General features: G+C 37.1%; 1 long non-coding RNA gene across 2 annotated transcripts in view; it reads left to right on the forward strand.

The window, feature by feature from the left end:
• Positions 1–27,126, forward strand: part of LOC124900817 (uncharacterized) — a 140,808-nt gene that overhangs the window by 30,171 nt on the left and 83,511 nt on the right. Inside the window, exon 2 of one of the 2 annotated variants that reach the window (XR_007058377.1) lies at positions 26,164–26,283. The exons of the other annotated variant lie outside the window; for it this stretch is intronic. This is a non-coding gene — a long non-coding RNA (uncharacterized LOC124900817). The remainder of the gene's footprint in view (positions 1–26,163; positions 26,284–27,126) is intronic. 2 annotated transcript variants of the gene reach the window in all.

A 27,126-nucleotide genomic window follows, 5' to 3' on the forward strand; every position in this document is an offset into this window, starting at 1 on the left:
GTGTGAGAATACAATACAAGATGGTAGTCTTCAACCAGGCAGAGGGCCCTCGCCAGAACCAGATGATGCTGATACCCTCGGGGATCTTGAACTTCCAGCTTCCAGAACAGTGAGAAATCACTTTCTGCTGTCGATAAGCCACTAGTCTATGGTAGCATGTTATACAGCCTGAACTGACTAAGACACCTTCTTTTAACAAAGAACAGTCCTTTCTTTCTTTCCTTTTTTTTTTTTTGAGACGGAGTCTCGCTCTGTCACCCAGGCTGGAGTGCAGTGGCGCGATCTCGGCTCACCGCAACCTCCGCCTCCCGGGTTCACACCATTCTCCTGCCTCAACCTCCCGAGTAGCTGGGACTACAGGCTCCCGCCACCACGCCGGACTAATTTTTTGTATTTTTTTTTTGTTTTTTTTTTAGTAGAGACGGGTTTTCACCATGTTAGCCAGGATGGTCTCGATCTCCTGACCTCGTGATCCGCCCGCCTCGGCCTCCCAAAGTGCTGGGATTACCACTGAGCCCGGCCATGAACAGTCCTTTCATTTGTATTCTGTATTGTAACCATTCTCACCTGGGGAAAGCTATGTTCTTTCAGTTCTTCCTCACTCTATCATTCATCTGACTTTGTTTGGTCATTTCATCTCTATGGGAACCCACGTTTAAACTTTCATAGCCCTTCTACTTCCCACTACCTAACCATAACACTGGCCCATTCCTCTGCTCCCTACACATAACCAAATATCTGGGAAGATTTGTCTACAACCACTGGTTCTACTTTTGTGTCTCCCTGCCATATTATTTCAATAAGTTTAGTCAATACAATACCCATATGCAATTTAAATCGTTATACAGAAGTACAAATTTTAAAAGGAAAAACAGCAGCTCCCTGTCTCAATTCTACCAACCCCTAATTTCCACTTTCCAGAGAAGGTCACTTTCAATTCTCTAAACTGTTTCTTATGGTATTCTGCAGCACACTTGGTTAGCTTGGCTGCTGAAACCATTGGTCTGTGTGCCTTTTTCAATGGTAGGTCTTTAATCACTCTCCAAACTTTTCTTTTTTAATTGGTGTATTAAAGTCTTGCATTATTTTTCTTGGTTCAATTTGGATCATTTATGTTTTGCTAGAAATTCCCTCTGGGATTTCAATTTTGTGCTATATGTCTCTTATAAGTGATTCCCAGATTCATATTTCTGTCTCTATCTCTATAATTGATCACACAACATCTTCACTTGTGTACCTAGTGCCATTTCAAAATTAACATGTTCAAAACTCAACTCCTGCTACCTATCCCCAAACCTGCTCCTCCAAAATTTTTCCTCAACTAAATAAATGGCAACTCTGTTCTTCAATTGCTCAAACCAAAGCTTTGGAATCATCCTTTAATGTTTTTCTTTCTTTCATATCCCATCCATCTAAAAATCCTTTTGGCATTCTATTAACAAAATATGCAGAATCTCAACACTTCTTACCACCTCTTCTGCTGTAACCTGATCAAAGCAACAATCACTTTCCATTTTCACTGAGAACTTTTACTGGAGGATGGAACAGCCTTCCTACTTTGCAGTTGCCTCCCTGGAGCTCATTCTTCATACAGCAGCCAATGTGCATGTTCAAGAGTCCTTATACTAATTGGTTTGAAAGCATCCATTGAGTTCCTGTGTCACTCCATCCTTATTGTGGTTTACAAGGCCTTACATGTTTCATCTGCTGCCACTCAACTTATTTTGCCTCCTGATACCCTTCCATCTCTTTGTACTCCTGCCACACAAGCCCATTTGCTGCCCCGTAGGCATGCCAAGCATACTCCTGCCTTAGTGCATTTGAGCCTGTCCTTTCCACTGCAGCAGTGTTGTTCCTTTAGTATAGCCTGGTCCTCTGCTTCTTTCAGGCCTATTCCATACAGTTACCTATTGCTACAACAATGCTGCAGAGCAAGCAATGGCAAAACATCAGTGGCACTCCAACAATAAATATTTAGTGATGAGTTTCAGCTAAGCTGGGCAGGACTTGGCTGGTCATGTATGGGCTCACTCATGTGTCCACCTTCAGCTGTGGGTCAGCAAGTCACCTCTTGCTGATCTTGAATGGCCAGACTGATATATCTGAGGGTCAGCTGGGTACTGGATGGTCCAGTATAACCTCAGCAGGGATGACTGGAGCTGTCATCTCATTCACCCTCCAGCAGGCTAGCCCTGGCATATTGTTATGGTTGTGTTCAAGGAACAAGACGCATGTGAAATTGTGGGAGGACTTTCTCAAAAAAGCTTTATGATTTTCTCAAGCTTCTGCATGAGCCTCATCTGTAAAAAAGCTTGTTTTGGGGAAGTGAGATATTGATAGATGAGGCTCACACAGAAGCTTGAGAAAGTCCTGCCACGATTTCACATGCCTCTGAATCTGTCTAGATTTAGCAGTTGAAAAGAAATAGATCCTGCTTTTGGTGAAAAGTGATGCAAAGTCCCATGGCAAAAGGCCTGGATAAAAGAGGAGTGAAGAATGAGAGCAGTGATGCCATCAATCAGCCAAGCATCCTTTCAGTGAGTCCTTCCTGACCACCCAATATAAAACAGCATCCTCTCCCCACACACATTCTTATCACTCTTATCCAGCGTTGCTTTTATATCTGTATCTGGCATCCTTATATGTGTCAGTCATGGTTCAATTGAGAAACTGAACCACTAGGAGATATATGTTGACATTTATTGCAGAGTTGTCTTATGTGATTGGGGAGGATGGCCAAGCAGGCTAGAAGTCCACAGGAAGGCTCCAGGAAGGTTAGGTTGCTACTCTGGGGCTGGTGCTGAAGCCTGCAGTCCACAGGGGGATTTCTTCTTCCTCAGGGATGCCTCAGTTCTGCTCTTAAGGCCTTTCACCTGATTGAATCAGATTATCTAGGGTGACATTCCTCACTTAGCCAACTGACATGTACTTTAGTTCATCTAAGAAATACCTGCACAGCAAAACCGATAATTAGTGGTTAATTCAATACCTGGGGACTATTACTGAATTAACAGTCTAGCCATGTTGACACATAAAACTATCATTCTATACATTTAATTTTTATTTATTTATTGCCTGTCTGCCCCGCAAGAAAGTTAGCTGTATGCAGGCTGGGACTTCTCTGTTAGTCACTATTCCAGGGATTGGAATAAAGCTGGAACAAGTCAACCCCAAAGAACTGTAAAATTGTACTTCACTGACTTTCTAAGTCATATGCTTAAGCTGCTATTTCTTTTTAAAATCAATTTTATACAATATGTTGATTTTCTCCTGTGACATGATACAGTCCCTTATGTTTTCACTCCCCACTGCCATACTCACATTTTCTACCTGCCCATATTCTCGTTTTAGTTACAGTACCGTTTATGATGAATGAATATTAAATTTTCACATTACTGTGACTGTCAATATTTTTCATAGGAGAGACATCTAGTGCACTGTGATCACATTTTCAGTCTTGTGTGTATATATATATATGTGTGTGTGTGTGTATATATATTTTTCTTCTCAAGGAGTTCATTGCCTAATTTTTTCATTTGCTAACTTTTCTAAGTATGTATTCCCAAATATTTCCAAATACTTTAAATTATAAATTCCCTCCAAATATAATCCTGTATATTGAGGTAGGGTAGGTACCAGTTTCATGTTTTTTCTGTCTTCCTCTATCTTCCCTCATTACCTTTTACGTCTGCTGCAACTCCGTCATTCTGGGACATTATTTCACCGCTACTCAGGCAATACTCTTCTCTTCTGGCTTTGATCTCCTGTTTCCTGAATTCTAAGTTTTCTTTTTCTTGGTTCATTCTTACATTTTATTATATTATTATTATGAATTACAACCTTTAACATTGAAATAGGTACTCCCTCATTTGATTAATGCTTTTTAATTTTTTTATTTGCTTTTTGCCAGGTATATCTTTGTCCTCTTATTTTTAGCCTTTCTCAGTCTCTGTTTTATGGATCTGTTTTGTAAGAACATAGAGTTGAAGTTTACATTGTTGGCTAATCTGAAATTCACCTTCATTTAATAGAGGAGTGAGAACCATATTGTTATTAACATGACAGCTCACAAAACTTGGTCATAAGATCATACAATCATATAACTTATATCTGTGATCTTAGTTTTGTTATATGGTTTTAGTTTACATTTCTAAATGTTAGTTGTAAAATATAGAGACATATAAAGCCTTTCACCATAAGTTTATTTTCTTTGTAATTTACCTTTTTTATACTTATTTTGGAGTTATGAGGTTTTTTGCCTAATGGTTACTTTTATACTAACACATTTACATAATATCCTTAGTTGCATCTCTTTTAGATACTCTTTACTGGTTCCCTGTAATAATCAATATTGATAATGCCCAGTGACTTCCTATTCCTCATTCTTTTCTTTCCTCCCATTATCTGATTTGTATATGATTTTTAAAAATTTCTCCTAATTCTTATGAGGCAATTGCCAAGCTTATTCTACCCTTTACGTATTCTCCACGAGTTCCATTTTTGTTAGTTTTATTGTATATACACTGTTAAAGCATGTACAATTTTATAATATTTTGCCCTTATCTCCCAAATTAATCTATGTTCTGAAGTTACATATATTCAAGGCTACCTGTGTTTATGATCCTTTTTGTTTGTTTGTTTGTTTGTTTTGAGATGGAGTCTCACTCTGTCATCCAGGCTGGAGTGCAGTGGCACAATCTCAGCTCACTGCAACCTCCGCCTCCCAGGTTCAAGCAATTCTCCTGCCTCAGCCTTCCGAGTAGCTGGGATTACAGGTGCACACCACCATGCCTGGCTAATTTTTGTATTTTTAGTAGAGACGAGGTTTTGCCATGTCGGGCAGGCTGGCCTCAAACTCCTGACCTCAGGTGATCCACCTGCTTTGGCCTCCCAAAGCACTGGGATTACAGGCATGATCCATCATGCCTGGTCTATGATGTATTTTTTATAGTTATTTATTGCCCATATAAGGCTTGTTTTCTACATATTTCTTAGGAAGACTATAAAGAACAATAACCCTCAAAAACAATAACAAAATGGCCAGCTGTGAAGAGCTAGAACTTGGCCACCCCACTGCTGTGTCATCTTTCTCCATCCCCATAGGAAGAAACCACTGTTTTTTTCCTCTTCTCTTATTTTCGTTGTTGTTGCTTTTGGTAGCTTTATCACATATGTGTATCCCTACACAACATATTTTAGTTTTGCTTATTCTTGAGCTTTATAAATCTGGATTCAGACTTTCTAAAGTATATTGCAATTTGCTTTTTCCACTCCGTCTTATGTTCTAAGATTTATCTGTGTTGTTGCTGGTTACTGCTGTTAATAGCATTGTGTGCATATACCATAATTTATTGCACGTTTATAACGATTTTTCTTTGGCATTTAGAATTGAAGATCAGTTAGCTTTTTACAAAATCATAAGTCCATGTTTTTGGGTTTTTTTTTTTCCCTTGAGAATTTAAAAATGCTTCTTGATTGTCATTTGGTACAAAGTGTTCATATCAAACAGTGTGAGGCTATTCTGATTTTCTTTTTACAAGTTAATGTTCTTTTTATTTGGATGTCTAAAGGATTCTTTCTCTTTCTCTGAAGTTGAATTAATTTACTTGAAATGTCTTGGTGTTGATGATTCTGAGTTGATTTTCCCAGGTTAGAGTGTCCTTTTCTCACTTTATTGCACTTCGTCTTTATTCTTCAGTTTTCTTTTACACATATGTTGTCTCTTCATGGCCTCTCTTCCATATTTACCTTTTTCTGAACAAACCCTGTCCTATGTTTTTCCTTATACTTTTGATTTTTTAAAAATGTGTTCCTATTTACGTTTCATTTTTCTTACTGTGTTCTCTCTAGTGTTTCTCGGTTTTTGTGTTTCTCCTAGTCTTTTTTTTTTCTTTTTGAGAATGAGTCTTGCTCTGTTGCCCAGGGTGGAGTGCAGTGGCGCAATCTCGGCTCACTGCAACCTCCGCCTCCTGGGTTCAAGCAATTCTGTGCCTCAGCCTCCCGAGTAGCTGGGATTACAGGCGCTCACCACCACATCCAGCTAGTTTTTGTATTTTTAGTACAGACGTGGTTTCACCATCTTGGTCAGGCTGGTCTTGAACTTCTGACTTTGTGATCCACCTGCCTCGGCCTCCCAAAGTGCTGGGATTACAGGCGTGAGCCACACTACTCCTGGCCTAGTCTAGCTTTTATTTGTGATTTTATTCCTTTCCTGATCTCTCTCCACTATTCTTTAATATCCTCCCTTTGTCTAGTTCTATTATTTTTGGAATTTCCTTTTTTGTGCTTCATACTGTTCATTTGTAGCTTCTGTAATTTCTTAGCTCCTTTGAGCCAATTTTGAAATACTAAGTTATACATTTTTCTGGGGTCATCCTTTGTTGGTAGGTTGAGTATTTATTTTTACCCTCTCATTGAATAGCAATCAATTACAAACATTTTCTGTTGCTCGTGTTTAAATAAGATGGGTTTTCCTGTATATTTAGAAAGAAGCATTAGTATTTATGGTTGTGAGTGAACCAGTATGCATTTTGACCTTCAGTGTTCGAAATTTCCCTCATCATGGGTCCTATGAAGTATGAATAATAATGTCAGTCTTTGTAACTACCTCTAAAAAAGCATTCTGAGGTCAACTTCCTCTGAACTCCCCCTCACTAGTGTGTAAGCCTTTTCTCTTCTGTACTGCCAGCGTTCTTGCTTGCCCAATTTGGATTCCATTTTCAGCAATATTTCCTTAGAAGGGGCACTGTCTTAATGAAAGGATAATTTTCTCGTATGTTTCTAATTACTGAGAATTTGGGCATCCTCTGATCTTGCTGTAGCCTTTTCCTTTCTGAGATCTTGCGATCTTGTACTCATCCATAATTTGGAGTCGGTGCAGATTTCTACCACTTTCACCATTTGGTTCTATAATCTGCTTGCTGAAATTCTGACTCAGATTGTGGTCCTTTCCTTTTAGAGATGAATATTTTAAAGCAATTTTTGAACTCTGTCTCAGAGGATCATCAGAACTCCTTTCTTCTGAAATATTGAATTTCTTTTCATTTTTCTATTTCTGCATAGCTGCTGATCATATAGCCTATAGCCCCAGCCTGATTCTATTTATGCATATTCTGGGGTTTGAGGGGGATATTTTGTCACCTGGTTTTGTTGATAATATTGTCCTCTAAAATTTTTTTCTTTTTTTCTTTTTTTTAATGAGATGGCATCTCACTCTGTCACCCAGGCTGGAGTGCAGTGGCATGATCTCGATTAACTGCAACCTCTGCCTCCTGGGTTCAAGCAATTCTCCTACCTCAGCCTACATAGTAGCTGGAATTATGGGCACCTGCCACCATGCTTGGCTAATTTTTGTATTTTTAGTAGCGATGAGGTTTCACCATGTCGGCCAGGCTGGTCTTGAACTCCTGACCTCAGGTGATCTGCCCCCTCGGCCTCCCAAAGTGCTGGGGTTACAGGTGTGAGCCACCGCACCCGGTCCCCTAAAAATTTTCCTATACTATTTTCCTTCTCCATATTTATAAAGGAATTTTAGACTCTCACAAACTATGCTGTTGCTACTGTTTTATTGATTTGATATTGTCTAAATATGACTATAGACTAAGAAGCACATTTCTAATGAACTCATGATTCACTTATTTTTAGCTATAGTTAAATATGTCCATTTTGACTACTATTCAAATGCACTCCTTTTGCAAGTCTTCAAAAACACTCTGCTTGTCTGTTCGCTTGCTTGTTAGGCTTGCTTTTCTTACAGTCTGTCAGCTTTTCTTCACGTGAGTCCTGGTATGCTTCCTCAGGGTCAGACTGCTTCTCTGGTTCTCCGTGTAGCACCTCCCTGACAGTTTGATTTTTAGACATACAAACTTCAGCAATACAAAATGAAAGTTAGAGTGCCTGTGTCTGAGTGCAAGAGTTACTGAGTGGTATAAAACTGTGTTTTGTTGTGTTTTTCGTAGGATATAAAGATGTTTAATTGGACAACCTTATTCATTCAGCTGTGACTTGCAGAAGGATCTGAGCAGGTACAGTTAAAGTGCTAGCTAATGAATGTTTTGGGAGGTAGGCTGCAGAAATTCTGGCATTTCATATTTTCTTCCAGTCTAACAACTCAATTCCACAATTGGCAAATGAGCTTTAAAGGAATACTACATGATTAAATTTTTTAGCGTTAAAAAATGATTACCTATTTCAAAAACATCAAATAGAAAATATTGTTGGTCATCAAGACAGAAAATTTGAGAAAATATTTAAGTAAATGAAAGAGAGATGTGAGAATTTTAAGTGCTGTTAATAGAGAAAGGGAAAATATATTAATTTTGATAAATTAGCTTTTTAGACTCATGTATCTCAAAATTAGATAATCTATTTCAAAGTAATAAGAAAAATGTGGATATCATCAGAATGTCTTTATTACACTCACTATAAACTTATCTGAAAATGCTCTTTTAGCATATGCTGGTCAGACAGCAGTGAATCTCAGTAGCTCAAAGGGAGTAGCTTCCCAATGAAGAATCAATACAGAATCATTGTGCCAAGAGTCTAGAAGTGCACAAAATTAAGTCCCAAATTAAGATCATTTGAAAATTTCTATCAGTGCTCAACTCCTTACTCATTGCAAAGCAAATGTGGTCTTATTGATAGTAAATTGCTTTTACTTTAACATTAAGGATTATATTTCATATTGTGTGTTCTTTTGTTAGTTGTGGAAATAGTCATTAGGCAACAATGCATTTACAGACCTTAGAAAATGTTTAGTGACCCCCATCAGTTTGATGTATTATACTTTAATAAACCTTACTAATGGCAAAAATGTAAGCTTATTTCCCGAGATAGATGAGATTTATTTGGCAGCTTTGGAAATCTGAAGTGTCCATCAGGAAGTGCAGAGGAAACAATGTTGATTCAAGTCCTCGGCCCATTTTTCAATCAGGTTATTTTTGTTGTTGTTATTGAGTTGCATGAACTTCTTATACATTTCTATGCTAACTGTTGATGAGAAATATGGTTTGCAAATATTTTCTCCAAATCTGTAGGTCACCTTTTCACTTTGTTGATTGTTTCCTTTGCTGTGCAGAAGCTTTTTAGGTTGATGTCGTCCAAATTGTTTATGTTTACTTTGGTTGCTTGAGCTTTTGGTGTAATATCCAAAAAATATCCTTGCCAATACTAATGTCGAGAAGCTCGTCCCCTGTGGATTATTCTATAAATGTTGTGGGCTTAGTCCTTGTGTTTAGGCCTTTGAGCTGATTTTTGTGTATGATGTAAGATAAGGGTCCAATTTCTTTCTTTTGCACATGGAAATCCAGTTTCCCCATCATTCATTGAGGAGACTGTCTTTTCCCCATGTATCTTCTTGCTGTCCTTCTCAAAAATTAATTGGCCCTATGTGCTTGGGTTTATTTCTGGGCTGCTTTTTCTATTTCATTGGTCTATGTAACTGTTTTATGTTAGTATTATACTGTTTTAATGTAAACTGGTACAGCCATTACAGAAAACAGTACGGAAGAAGATTGAAAAATGAAAAATAGAACTACTGTATGACACAGCAAGCCCTTTTCTGGTAGTATCAGCACCTTCTAGAGGTCCCTGCACTCCCATGTTCATTGTGGCATTATTCACAATAGCCAAGACATAGAAACAACCTTAGTGTCTGTCAACAGACGATGGGGGAATAGAGAAATTGTGGTAGATGCTGAATATTTGTTAATTTACTTGATCATAATAACAATTTCACTATGCATAAATATATCAAAGCAATCATGCTGTATACATCTAAGCAATAAAAGCAAAAGAAATGTTTATTTGGAAAGAATCTCAGAAAGGAAGCTTAAAGTATTATAAAAGAGAAGTTTGTTATTTCAAAGACAATGGAGATTATGAAAAAAGTGAGAAAAAAACTACTACCTAAAGATGAATATATGGAATAATGATAGTGAGAAGAAATATAAAAAGTGAAAAGTAGGCTGGGTAAAACACACAGTAAGTGATTATATGCATTTGTATGTATATGTAAAAATTTATATATGGAAATTTCACTAGGGTACATAAGTGAAAATTGAAGAGGACAGATCGAAGAATCAGGAAACTTGAAAATAGATCAATAGAAATGATCTAGTCGGAAGAACACAGAGAGAGAAGATTGCAGAAAAATAAACAGACCCTCAGAGACCTGTGGGAAAATATCTAGCATGAAATAGATGTGTAGTATGGAAATTCAATGGAGCTAGCATAGCCAAAACAATTGTTAAAAAGAAGAAAAATGGTGGAAGAGTTATACCACTTAAATTTGAAACTTACTAAAAGTCCAGAGTAACCAAGACAGTGTGGTATTGGCACAAATATAGGCAGATAGATCAGTTGACTCAACTGAACATAAATGAGAATCCAGGAATCAATTCTTATATTTACAGTCAATTGATTTTTTTTTTTTTACAAAGTGATCAAAACGAATCAAGGCAAAAAAAGATAGCCTTCACAACAATTAGCACTAGAATAATTGTGTATCCACATGCAACAAACAAACAAAAAACTTGAACTTCAGCCCTTACCTCATACTACACAAAAAAAAATTCTAAATAAATCATAGGCCTAAATGTAATAATTATTACTGTACCATTTCAAGAAGAAAACACAGGAGAAAATCCTTACCTTTGGTTGGGCAAAGAATTCTTAGACACAATACGAAAAGCACAATTCACTTTTTAAGAAATGTGATACATTGGACTTCATAAAAAGTTAAAAGTTTAACACTTCAAAAGACAATGATAAGAAAATGAAAGGCAAGTGTTAGACAGAAAAATTTATTTGCAAATCACATGTCTAATAAAGGACTTCAAAATATACAAACACACTTAACACTAAGTCATAAGATGAAAAAATTAGAGGGCAAAATATTTGAATAGACAGTTCATCAAAAAAGGTATATGTGGCCAAGAAGCACATGAAAAAAATGCTCAGTATAATTAGTCTTCAGGAAAATGAAAATTAAAACCACAATGAGATATCGTTATATACACACTAGAATGTAATAAAAGATGGATAATAACAAGTGGTGACAAGAATGTGGAGAAATGGGAATCCTCACACATTGCTAGTGGGAATGTAAAATGTACAGCCACTTTGAAAAAGAGTTTGGCTGTTGCTCAAAAGGAATTATACAGAATTACTATATGCCTCAAGAATTCTACTCCTTAATGTCTAATCAGGAAAAAATGCAAACATATGTACATATAAAGACTTACATGTGAATTTTGATGGAAGCATTATTAATAATAGTGAAAAATCTGTAAATATTCCAAATGAATATCAATTGGTAAATGGATTAAGAAAATGTGATATAACCATGCAAAAGAAAATCATTTAATGATCGAAAAGAACAAACTCCCACCTCATGGTACAATGTGGAAGAACTTAGAAACCATTATGCTAAGTGAAAGGAGATATATGTAAAAGATTACATATTGTATGATTCCACTTAATGAAAAGTCCAGAAAAGGCAAATTTTCAGAGACAGAAAGCAGATCAGTTCTTGCCTGGGGCTAGGTGTTCTGGTGCAAATTTAAGGATGTATGTAATGTGTGAATAGCTTGCGGCCTTTCTCTTCTCAGCCAGGAGTATGCCTGCCCTAACCAGCTGCAACCTTGGGGTAAGAGCATTTGGCTTGTCTCAACTCAGAGCCTCCGAGAAGCCACTTTCGTTAACAATGCTGCTGTGTTTCACACTGAGTTTCTTTAACAGCAAAGAGGCTGGTCCTCATGGTTTGCTCCATCCTGGCAGAAGTTCTGCCCTGAGACGGGAGAAGCCCCAGGAAAGAATGTCACAGAATTCTACTGTTTTTACCTGAAGTTCAACAGTTTTTCAAGCATAAATCCGTCTCTGATTGTTGTATGAAAACAACATACATACAATGGATCAGTTTTGTCCTGCTTTATAGTTGCTTTTTGAAAAGGATTTGCTGATCTCCTTACTTGGCCATCACTCTACACCCACTTTTTAATATGTAGGAAGAAAAAAGAAAAATTAATAACAACTGGAGATTGGAAAGGCAGAGGGCATATTATGGGAAGAAGCATTAGCCCATAAGCATTCAGTTGGTATCTTACCTCATCAGTTCTTTCAAAGGCTCTGTGTATGTGTGTGTGTGTGTGTGCGCGCACCTGCTACGAATACAAATAGCTTGCTACAAAATATCACTCTCGGAAAGAGAGTACTTATGCTCTAACTTATAACTTATGCTGTAACCGAGTGTACAATAGAATTCTATTTTGACTTGGATTCTCCAACACAAAGCAAAGAAGCAATGAATACAATTTATGGTGTTGTCCTAAATTGCTTTGCTAATTCCCTACCATATATATGTCTCCCTACCACCACTTCATATAATTCATACATCTCAAATTATTATTTACAAGAGATATATACACACAAACACACTATACACACATGAACATTTGTTGCTTTCTTGTGTGGCATATTTGTGAATTTTTCAAGGACGAATGTGGTAACTCCTCTCATCCCTGGATGCGTGCCCCTTTGCAATGTGATGTTGTCTGTCCTCTTGTCAAGAGGTGAAGTCCATTTCTCACCTTCTGAATCTGTGTGGGCTTTGTGACTTGTTCAGATCAAGAGAATGTAGCAGAAGGATTGCTGTGCCACTTTCAGTCTGAAGACTGAACTTCTGCTCTGCCCTGTTTGAACTCTGAGATCACTATAAAGAAGCCCAGGACAGTTTTCTTGAGGGTGAGATACTTTGTGGCATGAAAAACTCAGCTAATAGCTACCATCAACCACAGATAGGACAAGAAAGCCACTTTAATTCCAGCTGAGCAGCGAGATCACAGTAGCTACTTGAGTGAACCCAGGTGAGAACAGCAGAAAAACCACCACATAAGCCAGCCTAAATTACTGACCCTCATAATTCTGAGCAAACAAAATGATTATTGTTCTAAACCACTTAAGTTTGTGGTGCTTTGTGGTACAGCAATTTATAACTGAGACAAGATGTTCATTTTACATTTTCTTTGTTAATAGTTATGCTGAACAGAACATCTTAAAACATATGATGGAGTAATTCTTAGTCTACTTCAATTTTTTGGACACCATCTAATGTCAGAAAGTATAGACTTTAAATAGTTCTTTTGAAATTTGTGATTATCAAGTTTTACATGGAAGTTAATGAAATCAATATTGTTTTTATAGGGTTGCAGGTGATTTTTAAGGTCTGGAAATTTTCCAGATTCATTCTGCAAGTTAATCTAGCAAGTGGCATTCTTTGCTCTTGTTGCCTGCCATCTCTTTGAGATAACTTTTTAAAGGAAGGGGGACAAAATCATTATGGATTCTTTAATCAACAGCAGTTGACTATCTGCTTTTTACTACCACTTGCAAGGAAAACAACTCTTAATTTCCCATTTCTAAAATGCCCTCATGTAGTAGATTCCTAATTACTTGACTGAAAAAGTAAACATCGTCTAATGCTTGCTCAGACATTAAGGTACATAGGAGTGATTACCGAGCGTGTCTGCTTTCCTACCTACCAAATGCTAAATCTATTAGTATTTCCTGGTATTCTTCTGAATTTTGAATACTGTTCACATAAATTAAAAAGACCAACATACAGAGAAATTTATGTCATTTTCCCCCTATTAAAAATATAGGCTAGATAAGGTAATGGAATAGCAATAAAAACTCTTTTTCATAAAATTCTTAAGTATGGCTTCAATCTGCAATTTCTTTTTACATTGCACACATTTCTTTTGCTGCAATTATCTAAATAAAAGTATTTGTATATAACTATTCATAGCACATCAGATTTTTATTTTGTTTGAGGAAATATGCACATGTTTTGTTCATCCTCAATTAAATTATTTACCTTAGAACTTCATGATATATCTGCTTACCTACCAGGAATCCAACACCTGCACATGCAGGCTTGAAGAGGGTTTGAAACTTGATTTTAAAAACACTTTTAAAGAATAATGATGCATAATGAATATTACTTTCGTATTTCAAGTAACAAGCATCACCCAATGGAAAATGTGTGAATTAAATGTCCCTGGTATTCATTACTACTTTGAAACAGCTGCAACAAAGGATTCGTTCTGATATAACTATGTGTCATCCTGGCATGTTCCATGCCTAAGTAAATTTTTAATCTTGACAGATCATCAAATAGAAGAATTTCCTTTCCAGAGAATGCAAGTATTGGGCAATACAAATTCAGATTATAAGAAAGGGTTACACTGACTTCCACAATGATTGAACTAGTTTACAGTCCCACCAACAGTGTAAAAGTGTTCCTATTTCTCCACATCCTCTCCAGCTCCTGTTGTTTCCTGACTTTTTAATGATTGCCATTCTAACTGGTGTGAGATGGTATCTCATTGTGGTTTTGATTTGCATTTCTCTGATGGCCAGTGATGATGAGCATTTTTTCATGTGTTTTTCGGCTGCATAAATGCCTTCTTTTGAGAAGTGTCTGTTCATGTCCTTCGCCCACTTTTTGATGGGGTTGTTTGTTTTTTTCTTGTAAATTTGTTTGAGTTCATTGTAGATTCTGGATATTAGCCCTTTGTCAGATGAGTAGGTTGCGAAAATTTTCTCCCATTTTGTAGGTTGCCTGTTCACTCTGATGGTAGTTTCTTTTGCTGTGCAGAAGCTCTTTAGTTTAATTAGATCCCATTTGTCAATTTTGGCTAGAACTAGAAATACCACTTGACCCAGCCATCCCATTACTGGGTATATACCCAAAGGACTATAAATCATGCTGCTATAAAGACACATGCACACGTATGTTTATTGCGGCATTATTCACAATAGCAAAGACTTGGAACCAACCCAAATGTCCAACAATGATAGACTGGATTAAGAAAATGTGGCACATATACACCATGGAATATTATGCAGCCATAAAAAATGATGAGTTCATGTCCTTTGTAGGGACATGGATGAAATTGGAAATCATCAGTCTCAGTAAACTAGCGCAAGAACAAAAAACCAAACACCGCATATTCTCACTCATAGGTGGGAACTGAACAATGAGAACACATGGACACAGGAAGGGGAACATCACACTCTGGGGACTGTTGTGGGGTGGGGGGAGGAGGGAGGGATAGCACTGGGAGATATACCTAATGCTAGATGACGAGTTAGTGGGTGCAGCACACCAGCATGTCACATGTATACATATGTAACTAACCTGCACATTGTGCACATGTACCCTAAAACTTAAAGTATAATAATAATAAAAACAATAAAAAAAGAAAGGGTTATAATAACCATTTAGAGAAGGAGGTAGAGGGTAGGGTTCAGGCTTGAACAGGATTCTTCATCATACCGTATTCTCCTGAAATGGACTCCACCAAGATGTAAGAAGATTAAGTCCAAACCTGAGGTACAGTGCCGTTTTGCCTTCTGATAGAATTGGTGGCTATTTTTTGCTAGGCAGACTGCTTAACTGAAAAGACTGGCTGTGCTTTTATTTTAGTCTCAATGAGTGTGCTTTGTTTTTTAAAATAAACTTCCATTCTCCCTTTGGGAATCAACTTGAAGTCAATCTTATACCTCCTTTTCAAAAGTTTTTCTGTGTTTAGGCCATTGTGAAGTTGTCTTTACTGATCTGCTGCTCTGAGGGAGTGAAAGGGAGCCGGGGAATTGAAGGAAACCTGTGAAAGAGGAAATAGGACTTCCTCTCCCTTTCACTTGGCACTTCACCCTCAAAGTACATTCCACAGAGCAGCAACATCTGTATTATTTGCTAGCTCCTCCAAGATGCAGAACTCAAGGCCTTACCTGAGACCTACTGGATTAGAATCTGCTGTATGACAAGATCTCGGTGTGCTTTCTATCCTCAGTAAAAATTGGCATGCACTGACCCAGGAGAAAGCATTAGATCAAATGTGCCAGCCTTTCGCTCTCTAATGGCTCTCAGATGGAACATCCTCTAACCTGGGTATTCCCTTAAGGAAAAATAAACGACTAGACGCCAGGAGCTCTGGTAGTTTGTTTCTACCAGGTGTGGCTTTGAGGAAATCATTTAATTTCCCAGCTTCTGTTTGCTATTTGTAAAATGATACTCTACTATTTTGTGGCATATCTTTTGTAAGGTACAGTTTTCTTACTTACTCCTCTCTGTTGACGTTGAGCCCAAATCATTATTTAAGGAGAGAAAGTCTCCTTCACTCACGAGACATACGTTCACTTCACCAGCATGTACTTATTCTAGCCCCACTCAAGCCGAGTAAATTAATTTAATTTGTTTCAATTCAAGCTACTGTAAGCTACATCAATATTAATACAGTTGCTTACAAAAATATATTCTTAGATAAAACCAATTAGTACATTAGTTAATTTACATATCCTTTTTTCCACAGGGGGAAAAATGTAATGACCTGTAACTCACTATATTTAGAATGTCATTCCTTCAATTAATTAGCTTCTACAATTGAAATTATAATATATTGTAAACTAAATTTCTGGCAGAGATATATAAAGATGTACACACTTAAATTTACCTTCAAAACTCAATGGAGTTAAAAATGATAACTATAAAATATACTTTGATTTATAATTTACAAAGTCCTTTGCCTACATGATTTCATTAAAATATGAAAATCCTGTGCAACTTTCAGTTTTGTTTTGTTTTTTGTTTTTTTTTTCTGAGACAGGGTCTCATTCTGTCTCCCAGGCTGGAGTGCAGTGGCGCGATCCTGGGTTCAAGCAATTCTCCTGCCTCAGCTTCCCAAGTTGCTGGGATTACAGGCTTGTGCCACTATGCCTGGCTAATTTTTTGTATTTTTAGTAAAGACAAGGTTTCACCATGTTGACCAGGCTGGTCTCGAACTCCTGACCTCAAGTGATCCACCTGCCTCGGCCTCCCAAAGTGCTGAGATTACAGGCGTGAGCCACTGTGCCCGGCCGCAACTTTCAGTCTTAAAACAGCTATTATCGTAGGCTTTGTAAATTTCTTTGAAATCCTTAATTTAAAGCATAACAAAAGTGGATTTATTATCATTTATTGTGCCATAAACAATTATTTCATGATTGTTACTGTTATTTTGGTATTCTAAGGATTTAGGTAAAGAAAAGTGCTGTTTTTCTAGAATCTCTTCTCACTACATATGTTAAGTTCAATATGTTCAGCCTAATTTGACATAAGGTGCAGACAATGAGGCACCAATTTACTGAGCCTGAGGATACTTAAGATTGATGTTTTCATTTGATGTCTCACTTCCAAGCTATATTAGACACTGTAGGTTATAGTCTGTGAGAGCCGGATTAACTCTCAGCATCCAAAATGCGTTTCAATGGCTTAGTGACAAAGGTTAATAAAGAATTGAGGATAAACATTGCAAAACAGTTTAAAATGATCCTGAAAATAATGTGACAGGCATTTCAATACTAAGAAATGTCACCTCTTTCAAAATAAAATAAGAGAAAGTAGAACACTATTTTTCATGAGGTACCTTTTGTTTGATTGTGAGCATGTCAACATTGTTTTGTCATCATTTGAGCACAGAAACACATTTTTCCCCATCCAAATATTGTTGGTGATTAAAAATCCCCTATAAGTAAAAGCTTAGTTGGTCATTATTAAATGGTATTTTTAATGATTAATTCTTTAATTATCAATAAGTCACTAAAATAAAAAATTTTTTCCTATAATACACCCTTGGTAAACGAAGTACAACTAAAATCCATCTTGGCAGTTTTTTGTCTTTTTAATAAATGTTTATTGCATATCTATTATGTGTCAGATGCTGTTTCAAACTTTGAAAAGAGACAAATAAAACACAGTTTGTGCCATTGAATATCTTAGAGTTCAATAAATATTTTTTTAATCTTAGGAAAAATAAATTTGTTAACTTGTTTGAGAATGAAGGAAATGCCTTATTAGCAAGAATATCTAATTTATATAAAGTTAAAAGCATAGTGATTAATATGATTATAATAATTCCATGTAAAAGAATGTCAGATCCATATTTTAATGTTAAAATTCAATGAGTTTTTTTTTTTTTTGGCAAATATATGTGTTACTAAGTGCTACCCTCTGTGTTGTTTCAGGATAAAGGGAGAAAAAGACATACTTGGTTCCTGTTCTAATGGATCTTTTATTCTAGTAAAAGTCAGATTAAAATGAAGATCCTAGAAAAGTAAACCCAATAATTACGATTAGCAATAAGAATGCATTCTACCAACAAAGGGCCCTGATATTGGGGTAGGATTAGGAAAGAATCACTGAGGATTTGATATGTTCTAGCTAGGAGTTACAGGATGAGAGTCAGTTTGAGAAGGAGGAAAGGCATGGAGAAGGCATCCTTAGAAGATGGAGCATTTCATTGAACCGATTTCTGGAGCTTATTAAGATTATTCCATCAGTAATAAGCTTAATATCTGTGATTCCCCAAATTATGTAGAATTTTAGAGCTATGCCATGAGAAAACAAATCAACCAAATACCAAATGTATCAATCATATTTTCTTTGCTACAGTCATGTATGAAAATAGGCAGAAACATGGATCCAGTTCTGGGTAACACAGGTTGTAAACCTTAGTTATAAGGAATGACCCCTTTAACTCCATTAACTTCTTTGCTGTGTGCATAATTTACTTTGAACTTGTTTAAGTAGAGGTTAGCCTACTTTCATTCAGCTCAAAACCCAAATTTGACCAGACACTAGAGAATACAAAAAGAATTTCACCAAATATTTCAGAAGACAAAACAATACATAATATAAACTAATCTTAATATTTTTCAGGGACTTCATTTTAATTTATCTATTAAGATATTTACTGTTTTAGTTGTTTCTATTGGGGTTTTACACATGTGACTTTCCCAATCTACTTAGAATTAATTTTTCATCACTCGAGTATGGAAGCCTTTCCACCACATCGGCTCCTTACCTTCTGTCTTTCATGTTGTAGTTGCCAAATGTGTTACAACTATATACATAGAAAACTCCATCAGACAGTGTTACAGTTTTTGTTTTCAATCATCACACATATTTTAAAGAACCAAACAGTGAAAATTTGTTATATATATGCAGATATTTATCATTTCTGTGGTGATTTCTTCATTTCTGCTTTGAGCTGAATGCTGTGTCCTCCTCAGATCCAATGTGATGGCGGTAGGAGCTGAGGACTTTTCAAGGTGATTAGGTCATGGAGGTGGAACCCTCATGAATGGGGTTGGTGGCCTAATAAAAGAGACCTCAGAGAGCCCAGAGAAATGCCTTTTCCCTTCTGCCAGGTGAGGGTGCATTGAGAAGACACCTTCTAGGAGCCCAAAAGCGAGTCCTCAGCAGACACTGAATCTGACGGCACATTGATCTTGGATTTCCAACCTCCAGAAGTGTGAGAAATAAATTGCTCTTGTTTATAAGCCACCTAGTCCATGATATTTTGTGATAGCAGCCCCAAAAGACTGACATAATTCCTGAAGGTCCAGGTTTCCCCTTGGTATCATTTCCCTTTGATCTTTCCCATTTCTTTAGAGCATGGTTGTTGGAAACAGTCTCCGAGTTTTCCTTCATCTAAGATTGCCTACATAATATTTTTGCTAACTTCAGAATTTGCACGGGTGCTTCTTTTTGTTTATTATTTTAAAAGTGTTATTCCCCTACCAGCTTGTCTCCATGGCTGTTACAGACAGGAAGGGCCAGTGAGACGTTAGCAGAAACCTGGGATAGTTCTCCCTTAAACTTCATGAAACTCTTGAAAGAAGGTGACTTAGCTGGGTGAAGTGTCACATTTGTCACTTGTCCTTCTCCTTATTCCTGGCTGGAAATCAGATGTTAAGTCTGTAGCTCCAGTGGAAAACCAATGACTTCAGGGATAGAAGAGAAGATACAGAAAAAAGCCTGGGCAATGGAAGATTCTTTTGAGTGTGAGGTCTGCTCTGGCAAGCCTACTCCTGGACTGCTTTTACATGAGATCTCAAACTGGGTACCTGTTAGTAGCAGCTGCACTGAATTTTTAATGGACATCAAAATCATGTCTCTTCCTTATCATACATGCTGGAAGAATCTCTGTTACATAACAAACATTCTATATATGTATATTATTTAAATTGAATATGTTGCTTATATACATTTTAAAATTTATTACCATGGGTGGGAGAATGGAACAAACTCTCCTAAGTGAGATAGTGACTTCCTCTCTAGTTGCATGAAATGTGTTTTACATTTCACTATGTAACTTGTACGCACTAAAAAGCTTCTAACTTGTATTGTTGTCTTTTGATATGTATCTATATCTTATCTATATCTATCTTGATCCATAAAAAGATAGTAGACCCTGATTATTTAGAGATTGCTTCTCATGCCTTGTTTTCCAGAGGACCTAGCACTGTGCTTATACATGATGCTAGTAACAACTGAAGTTTACTAGGCTTGGTTTCTTCCTAAACCCCTATGTAATAGATTCTGTCTCTCTAGTCAGTAGCCCACTACTGAGGCAAGAAGATTTCAAAGGATGCTAAGATATAAGACAAGAAAATTATTGACCACACCATTCTATTTTGCATAAATGTAACCCTTTGAAACATTTTAGATGCCAAAATATATGATATTTTTCTGCATATCTGAACAGGTGATTATGCTGGAGTTTTGAGGATCTTAAGATATCATGGAATGATAGGAAAGATCCAAAGTGATTAGTGCTGAGAATATAGAAATAAGAACAAAGTGAAGGTGGGGAAAACAGTATTTATTACAAACAAATCGTTGTTCTTAAGAAATTGACTATAACTATTAAAATGACTAGAATATTTAACTATGAATGTGCTCTGTCTGCTCTACCGACAGCAAAGACTTAGCAATTTCTCTAAATCCTATCCATATTTTCTAAAGGTGTCAATTGCCCTTTTATGTGTGTCACTTTCTACCACTTTTCTGTCACTTCCTGTGCCACAAATTTGCTCTTTTTCCTATGTTCATCATCTCATTGAATGGCACCCCCATCTGCATGGTAGCCTGGGAAATATATTAAGGTATTATCCTTTAACCTTCTTTCTTTATCATCCCTATGTCCAGGTAATCTGAAATTCTGTCAGAATATGCATCTTTAATCTATCTTAAACTGGCCCATTTTTAAAAATTTCTATCTATCTTGACCTTACTTTACCTAAATGATTATCACTCTCCTAATTGTTTCCTAATGGGCCTCATAGGCAAGACAAATCTTTCCTTATACTGCCTCTAGAATTATCTTTTCAAACACGGATGTGGCCATCCTTCTTTCTTACAAATGACCTCATAGTCCCAAAGACAAAGTCTATACTCTCCCTAAATAACATTCAAGGCCCTCACTCACGCAGCTCCCTGATTCCCACGTCAGTATTTTTGTCCTCCTCCCCTTCCCAAAGCACACTCTCACATACGCGTTATTCTACCTGTAGTCATATTAAGCTACTTTCAATTCTGTGCTTTCTCTCAGCCTTCAACCCTCTCTTAGGCTGTTGCATTCCTGTGGAGTGTTCCAATCCATGCACGTGCTACCATGCACCCACCTTTCTTCTTAGAACTAGAACTGAGTAACTTTGTTCTCTTACTAGAATTACCCCTGCACTATTAAGTGTGCATCCCTCTCCCACAAACCTCATTTCATCCACACAGAGAGAACTCTAGGTTGTCTAAGGGCTGGACTCTGCCTTATTCACTATTATATCTGTAGCACTTAGCATGAGCCTGTTTGAGGAATGCTTAGTTAATCAATATTAGAAACTTCTCATTGCAGATGAGTTTATAATTCTTTCAGTTCTCATAGTCCTGTGGAAATGAAGCAAACTGTGTGTGCATGCACGTGTGTGTTTGTGCGTGTGTGTGTTGTTTGTGTGTGTGTGATGGGGTTGAAGAGGTAAAGTATATTAACTTTCAGTGAGGTAATTGTCCTGATATTCATGCAGTCTGCTCTGCATCAAGATTACTTGAGGACCTGGCACGGGAACTATTGTCTAGCTCCTGGGTTGTTCCTGTTATTCTAGCTAACAGCAGTGATTACGTTTGAAGTTCTGTCTCATATTGTTGCACTTCTGTTGATATTTAATAAAAACTCAGAGAACAACTTGCAAGAAGCAGTACTCATTCCTGCTGAGAAAAGAAAAAGAGAAACAAGTGAATCCTTTGCTAAGCCATTTCAAATGTTTCTGCCATAACCTTAATAGCATAATTTTAACTTCTTGGCACTGAGTGAGGTCAACATTGGTATACTTTGTACTAACGCATTATACCGGAAAATTGGATCCAGAGGTAAAATGGAGTTTCCTTTTCTCAAAAGTTTTCTAGCCAAGGTACACAATCTATGAACAAGAGGAATTTGATGAGAACACTGGTGAAGTGCATACTCAGACAGTAACTTGTTTTCTCATGTCCTGAAGTACCAAAACCTTACTTCTTTTAGGCTCCCATTCATATTTACCATTATTTCTATTTTATATTATTTTCATATAATTTCAACTACAGACTAGGGTAATTTATTTTATTGTAGAATATTTAGAAATCTGGGAAGCACCAACTAAAGCGAGTGTTTCTTGCATGAGTAGACCCTTTTTAAAAAAAAATTACATTTGTGAAGAAATATTGCTGCATTTAAACCTCCTAGCAGTTAAAAAATGTTTAATTTCTAGTTTTAAGAGTCATGACAACTTTTTCTTTTTAACACAATTTCTCTTAGAATCATTAAAGTCAATTGCTAATAATTGCATTGGCATTGTGATAACTTGAGATGTAACCAAGGAAAAGCATGTTCAATATGGGTTACTAATTACACTAATAACAATTTATGCAAATTAGTGACTAATTTTACATTAGCATAGTGGTAATCACTTTAAGATCGTTTAGTAAGAATGATGGCCCAATCAAGACTAGGAAGTATTTTTTTTAAATGAGATAGAGAAATGAAAGATATAGGGTTTATTGCAAATAGTTTTTAACTGAAATCCAAATATTAGTAATGAACTATTTTGAAAGGAATGTATTGAGTAAAACCCCATAATTTATCATTCATTTTCTTCTGAGTATTTTCCACACATTTTGATCTCTAGAATATGGCACCTGGGCTAGAAATCTCTCAGGGACCGTCTCCATCATGATTTTTCTGGAATTTCCTGTTTGAGTCAGGATGAAAATATCCCCGATATGCTCTGTTTTTGGGGATTTAGCCCCGTGCTTCCACAACTTAGAGAATCAAGAGATAAAAGAAGCTAAAACAAGAGAAATGTGGTTAAATCATGATTTTAATTTTTCAGAGCTTCTTGCTTCATGTAAACTAAAAGTTTATGGATTATAATCCTCAAACAGCCATACATAAAAACTGTATTTAGATACTTTCTTTGCCTACTAACTTAACACAACTTGAGTCAAGGTTTGGAAGATTTCAGTATCGGCATATCTGGAGCTTTCTTAGCAAAACAAAGGTGACAGAGGGTTGTAATTATCTGAGCTATAGCCATGTGAAGAGAAGATGAAGGACAACTGGGTATGCTGTAAACAATTGAGGATAAGGAGAGAGGAATTAGGAATTAAGTTTAGACAGCAACTTCTTATACATCTTGGGCAAAATATTTCACCCCTCCAGCTATTGAACTCCGTTGGAGTGCTTCTAGCTTTTTATTTTTCTTCTTCCTTCCTTCTTTCATTCCTTCCTTCCTTCTTTCATTCCTTCCTTCCTCCCTTCCTTCCTTCCTTGTTCCCTCCCTCCCTCCCTTCCTTCCTCTCTTCCCTTCTTCCTCCCTCCCTCCCTCTGTCCCTTCCTTCCTTCCTTCCTTGCTTCTTTTCTTTCTTCCTTCCTTCCATTTTTTTTAAAGCGGTGGTCTTTTAAATATGTGACCTTAAGAATTTCAAATTTTCACAAATATTCATTCATTGTGTAATTTGAGAAATATTTATTGAGGACCAACAATGTGCTGGACACTGTTCAAGGTGCTGGTGCACGAAACATAAAGAGGATCAAAGCACATGATGATGTGGTGAAAATAGAATTGAGTAGCAGGAATCTTGTCTTCTTGGACTATGCCTTGAACCTGGCAGTTGTCCTAGAGCACAGTTTGAAATCCATTGATATTTTCCTTCTCTTTCTAATAACCTATGATTCCACAAAGAAATAATGCACGTTAAGTAGCTGCCATCATAAATGTACCTAGGATTGCCATGATCAGGTTCTTGGTGTACAAGTTCATCCTATTTCACTTACATTGATTCGCTTTCTAGATGATACTCTACTTTGAGAAGAAGTAAGCAAATGGATCACATTCTTACTTTAATGAGATCTTTGGCTGTCTTGGTCTCAGTTTTTCTGCTCTGTGTTCCTGTTCATTTTTATCTCACTAAAGAGGACACTGATGTTCTAAGAGTTACCATTATTTTGCACAACCATCCAGGGAACTCTTAACCATTTGTTCCAATTTTATCTAACAAGTAATGATGGTGTGTCAAGGGATAGTTATATTCTATTTTATATCCAAGCAAGTCAAGCTAGAACTGAAATATGTTCTATTTTTTTTAATCTGGGCATAAAAGACAGAGACAGAGAGCGAGAGAGAGACTACCAGAAGATGGTGGGAGGTGAGAGCAGTTGCCATTCAGGATTTACAAGGAATAGTCATATCCCACAGTTAAAATATATAACCACTTATCTTTGCGGCCAGTCAATGATAATTTCCTCTGGCTCCTTCAGTTTGAATCTGCCAAATAATGTACCAGGTGTTTTCTTTTTCTCTTAAGAGAAAAAAATGATCTCTAAAATTATATGAAGTTTAAATGATTTAATTCCTGGTTAGAAAATTTAGCTTGAAATCTAATGGTTATCATCACCTTATATTTCAATAATATTTCATTTCCCACACCTGCCTTCTAGAGCAGTTTCAATCATGAATAACAGTGGGGGAGAAAAATGATAAACATTATGTGCTCAGCAAAGGACTTAGTAGTGTTGAGCCAAGTTGGAAAAGGAGAACAACTATTACTACAGGGCTGAACCTTGTGGGGAGTCTGGAGGTCTGCCCTGACAATCCCAAACTCTGCAACTTTATTATCTTTGTGGTTTTAAAAAGACTTGATCTTTCTAATATTACATTCTGAAAGGCAACTTAATAGATACTCTATTTCTGGAGAGCTCTGTATGCAGAATAATGGAAAATTCTTGTCGTGGTTGTCATGTTTTTTTGAAGAAGCAGCAAAGTGAAGAATAAATTTGGCTGATTTGCATGAAGTGTTAGTATTCACTGACAGTGATTCCTGAACTGAATTTTCTTTATGCTGTGGGAGAAGAGACGTGAAGCATTATTTCTAGCAGCTGGGATGGCTCAGGGATTTAAGGTACCATTTGGGGCCTTGCCAAGATGCTCCGCATGAACCTGGGAATGTCAGTGCAGAGTTTTGGTGAATGAGACAGAGCTGGCATTTTATAGATGGAGCAGGTGTTGGCTTATGTGATACGACTTGAGAATGTGTAAGAAGGTCTTCATGATCAAATACCACACTTCCAGTATCCATCACATTATAGTCATTCCTCTGAGATAAGATCTGACATGCTCCTATTAACATGAAAATGAGTTATCTGGGAGGTGTATTAGTCACTGCTACCTTAGCAACAGTCAGCTTATCAGATAAAGTCTCAGAAAGTGGGATCTTGAATGAATGGTACTCACAGAGGCCAGTTTTGGTTAAGAGTACAAAGATGGGCCAGGACTAAGTGAGGAGATCCAGTGGAGCTAGCAGGGAGGGCCACAGGGGAGGGCCACGTACATGACTGTGGGATGAATTCAGCCTTGACTCAGTTCCTACTTCCACCAAAGTAAGGAGTGTACAGCATCATTGTGCCATCTGGATATTTTTGTTTCACGGAAACTCCCTAGATGTTAACCACATCCTGTTTTCCTTCAAAGCATCACTTAAACATACAGTGTTTAGCATACAGAGTGGGGATACTAAGTCTTCTTTCTCTACATCTCCAGCATTCCTTGATCCCAACTTAATTCTCTCCACTTAATTTTGACGAAAAATTTAACTTTCTACCTTCTTCTTGGCTCCATAGCTACCTTTGCATCACTGAAGACTCACAAATGGTTTCTGCCTCACAATGAGCTATCCACTCTATGTCCTAACCTTTGGAGGTATAGAAGGGGGAGGATTTGAAAGTTGAGTCTTTCCATTTTCCTTTCCCACAGGTTTCAGATAGTAGCTGAACATGGCATAGAAATTTAGGAATTTCTCTTCCTCAACAACCCCACCTGACACAAGCATCAGCCACGGTGAGCTTGGCGATGATCTCCCTTCCCCTTTGCTACGTAAGTGTGTTCTTTGATATGACTCAATTAACCAAAAATTAGCCATCATGTATCTTTAAATGGCTATTGACAACGATTTCTGCTAGATAAGTGTTCTCTCGGGTCGTGTCCCTGACTAACCTGAGCTTACGACCTACCCAGAAAGGTTAGAGAGATATACCAGAACCAGAGTGATAGATTGCCCATAGAAAGCAAGCAAGAGTTGGACACAAAGTGCTGAATGAGTGATAGAGAATATATGATCTTTGTTGTCCCAGTATCCTGTACTTCCTTTTTTGGTAGCTTTTATTGCAATTGTAATGAAATTAATTATCTGGATGTTATTTAACATCTTGCCTTCACCTTTTCTTTCACCTTCCCTTTCACATCCCCTGGGTGCAGGGTCCTGGCTTGATTTTACTTACCATTGTATTCCCAGAGGAACACAATAGGTTCAGAAGTTCAGAAAAGTGAGCAGTCGCTGTCCATTGTGAGGCTTAACAACCATGACCATTAGGGAAGGCTTCCCAGAGGTACTTCAATTCTAGCAAAGGGAAAGTCCAAAGATTGCTATGGATTAGTCAGGTGGTCCTAAGCCTTGGTCTACACCACAAGACTTCAATGACATACTTTTCAATCTGGGGATCTCCAAACTGTTGTTAGGTCAGGAAATAGTGGATGCCTCACATCCTAGTGTGACTTGGACAGATGGCCAATATAATCTGGCTTAACCTGTTCCTATGTGTGGTCCAGATTAAAGTCACCACAGAAACATATCCAGTTTCCATGGGTTTGGCATGATGGCAGCCTGAACTCTCAAGCAGTTCCCAAACTCTAGTTTGTTAACTGTTGCTTAAATAAGGG

Source organism: Homo sapiens, chromosome 4, assembly GCF_000001405.40.
Source record: "Homo sapiens chromosome 4, GRCh38.p14 Primary Assembly".
Lineage (NCBI taxonomy): Eukaryota > Metazoa > Chordata > Mammalia > Primates > Hominidae > Homo > Homo sapiens.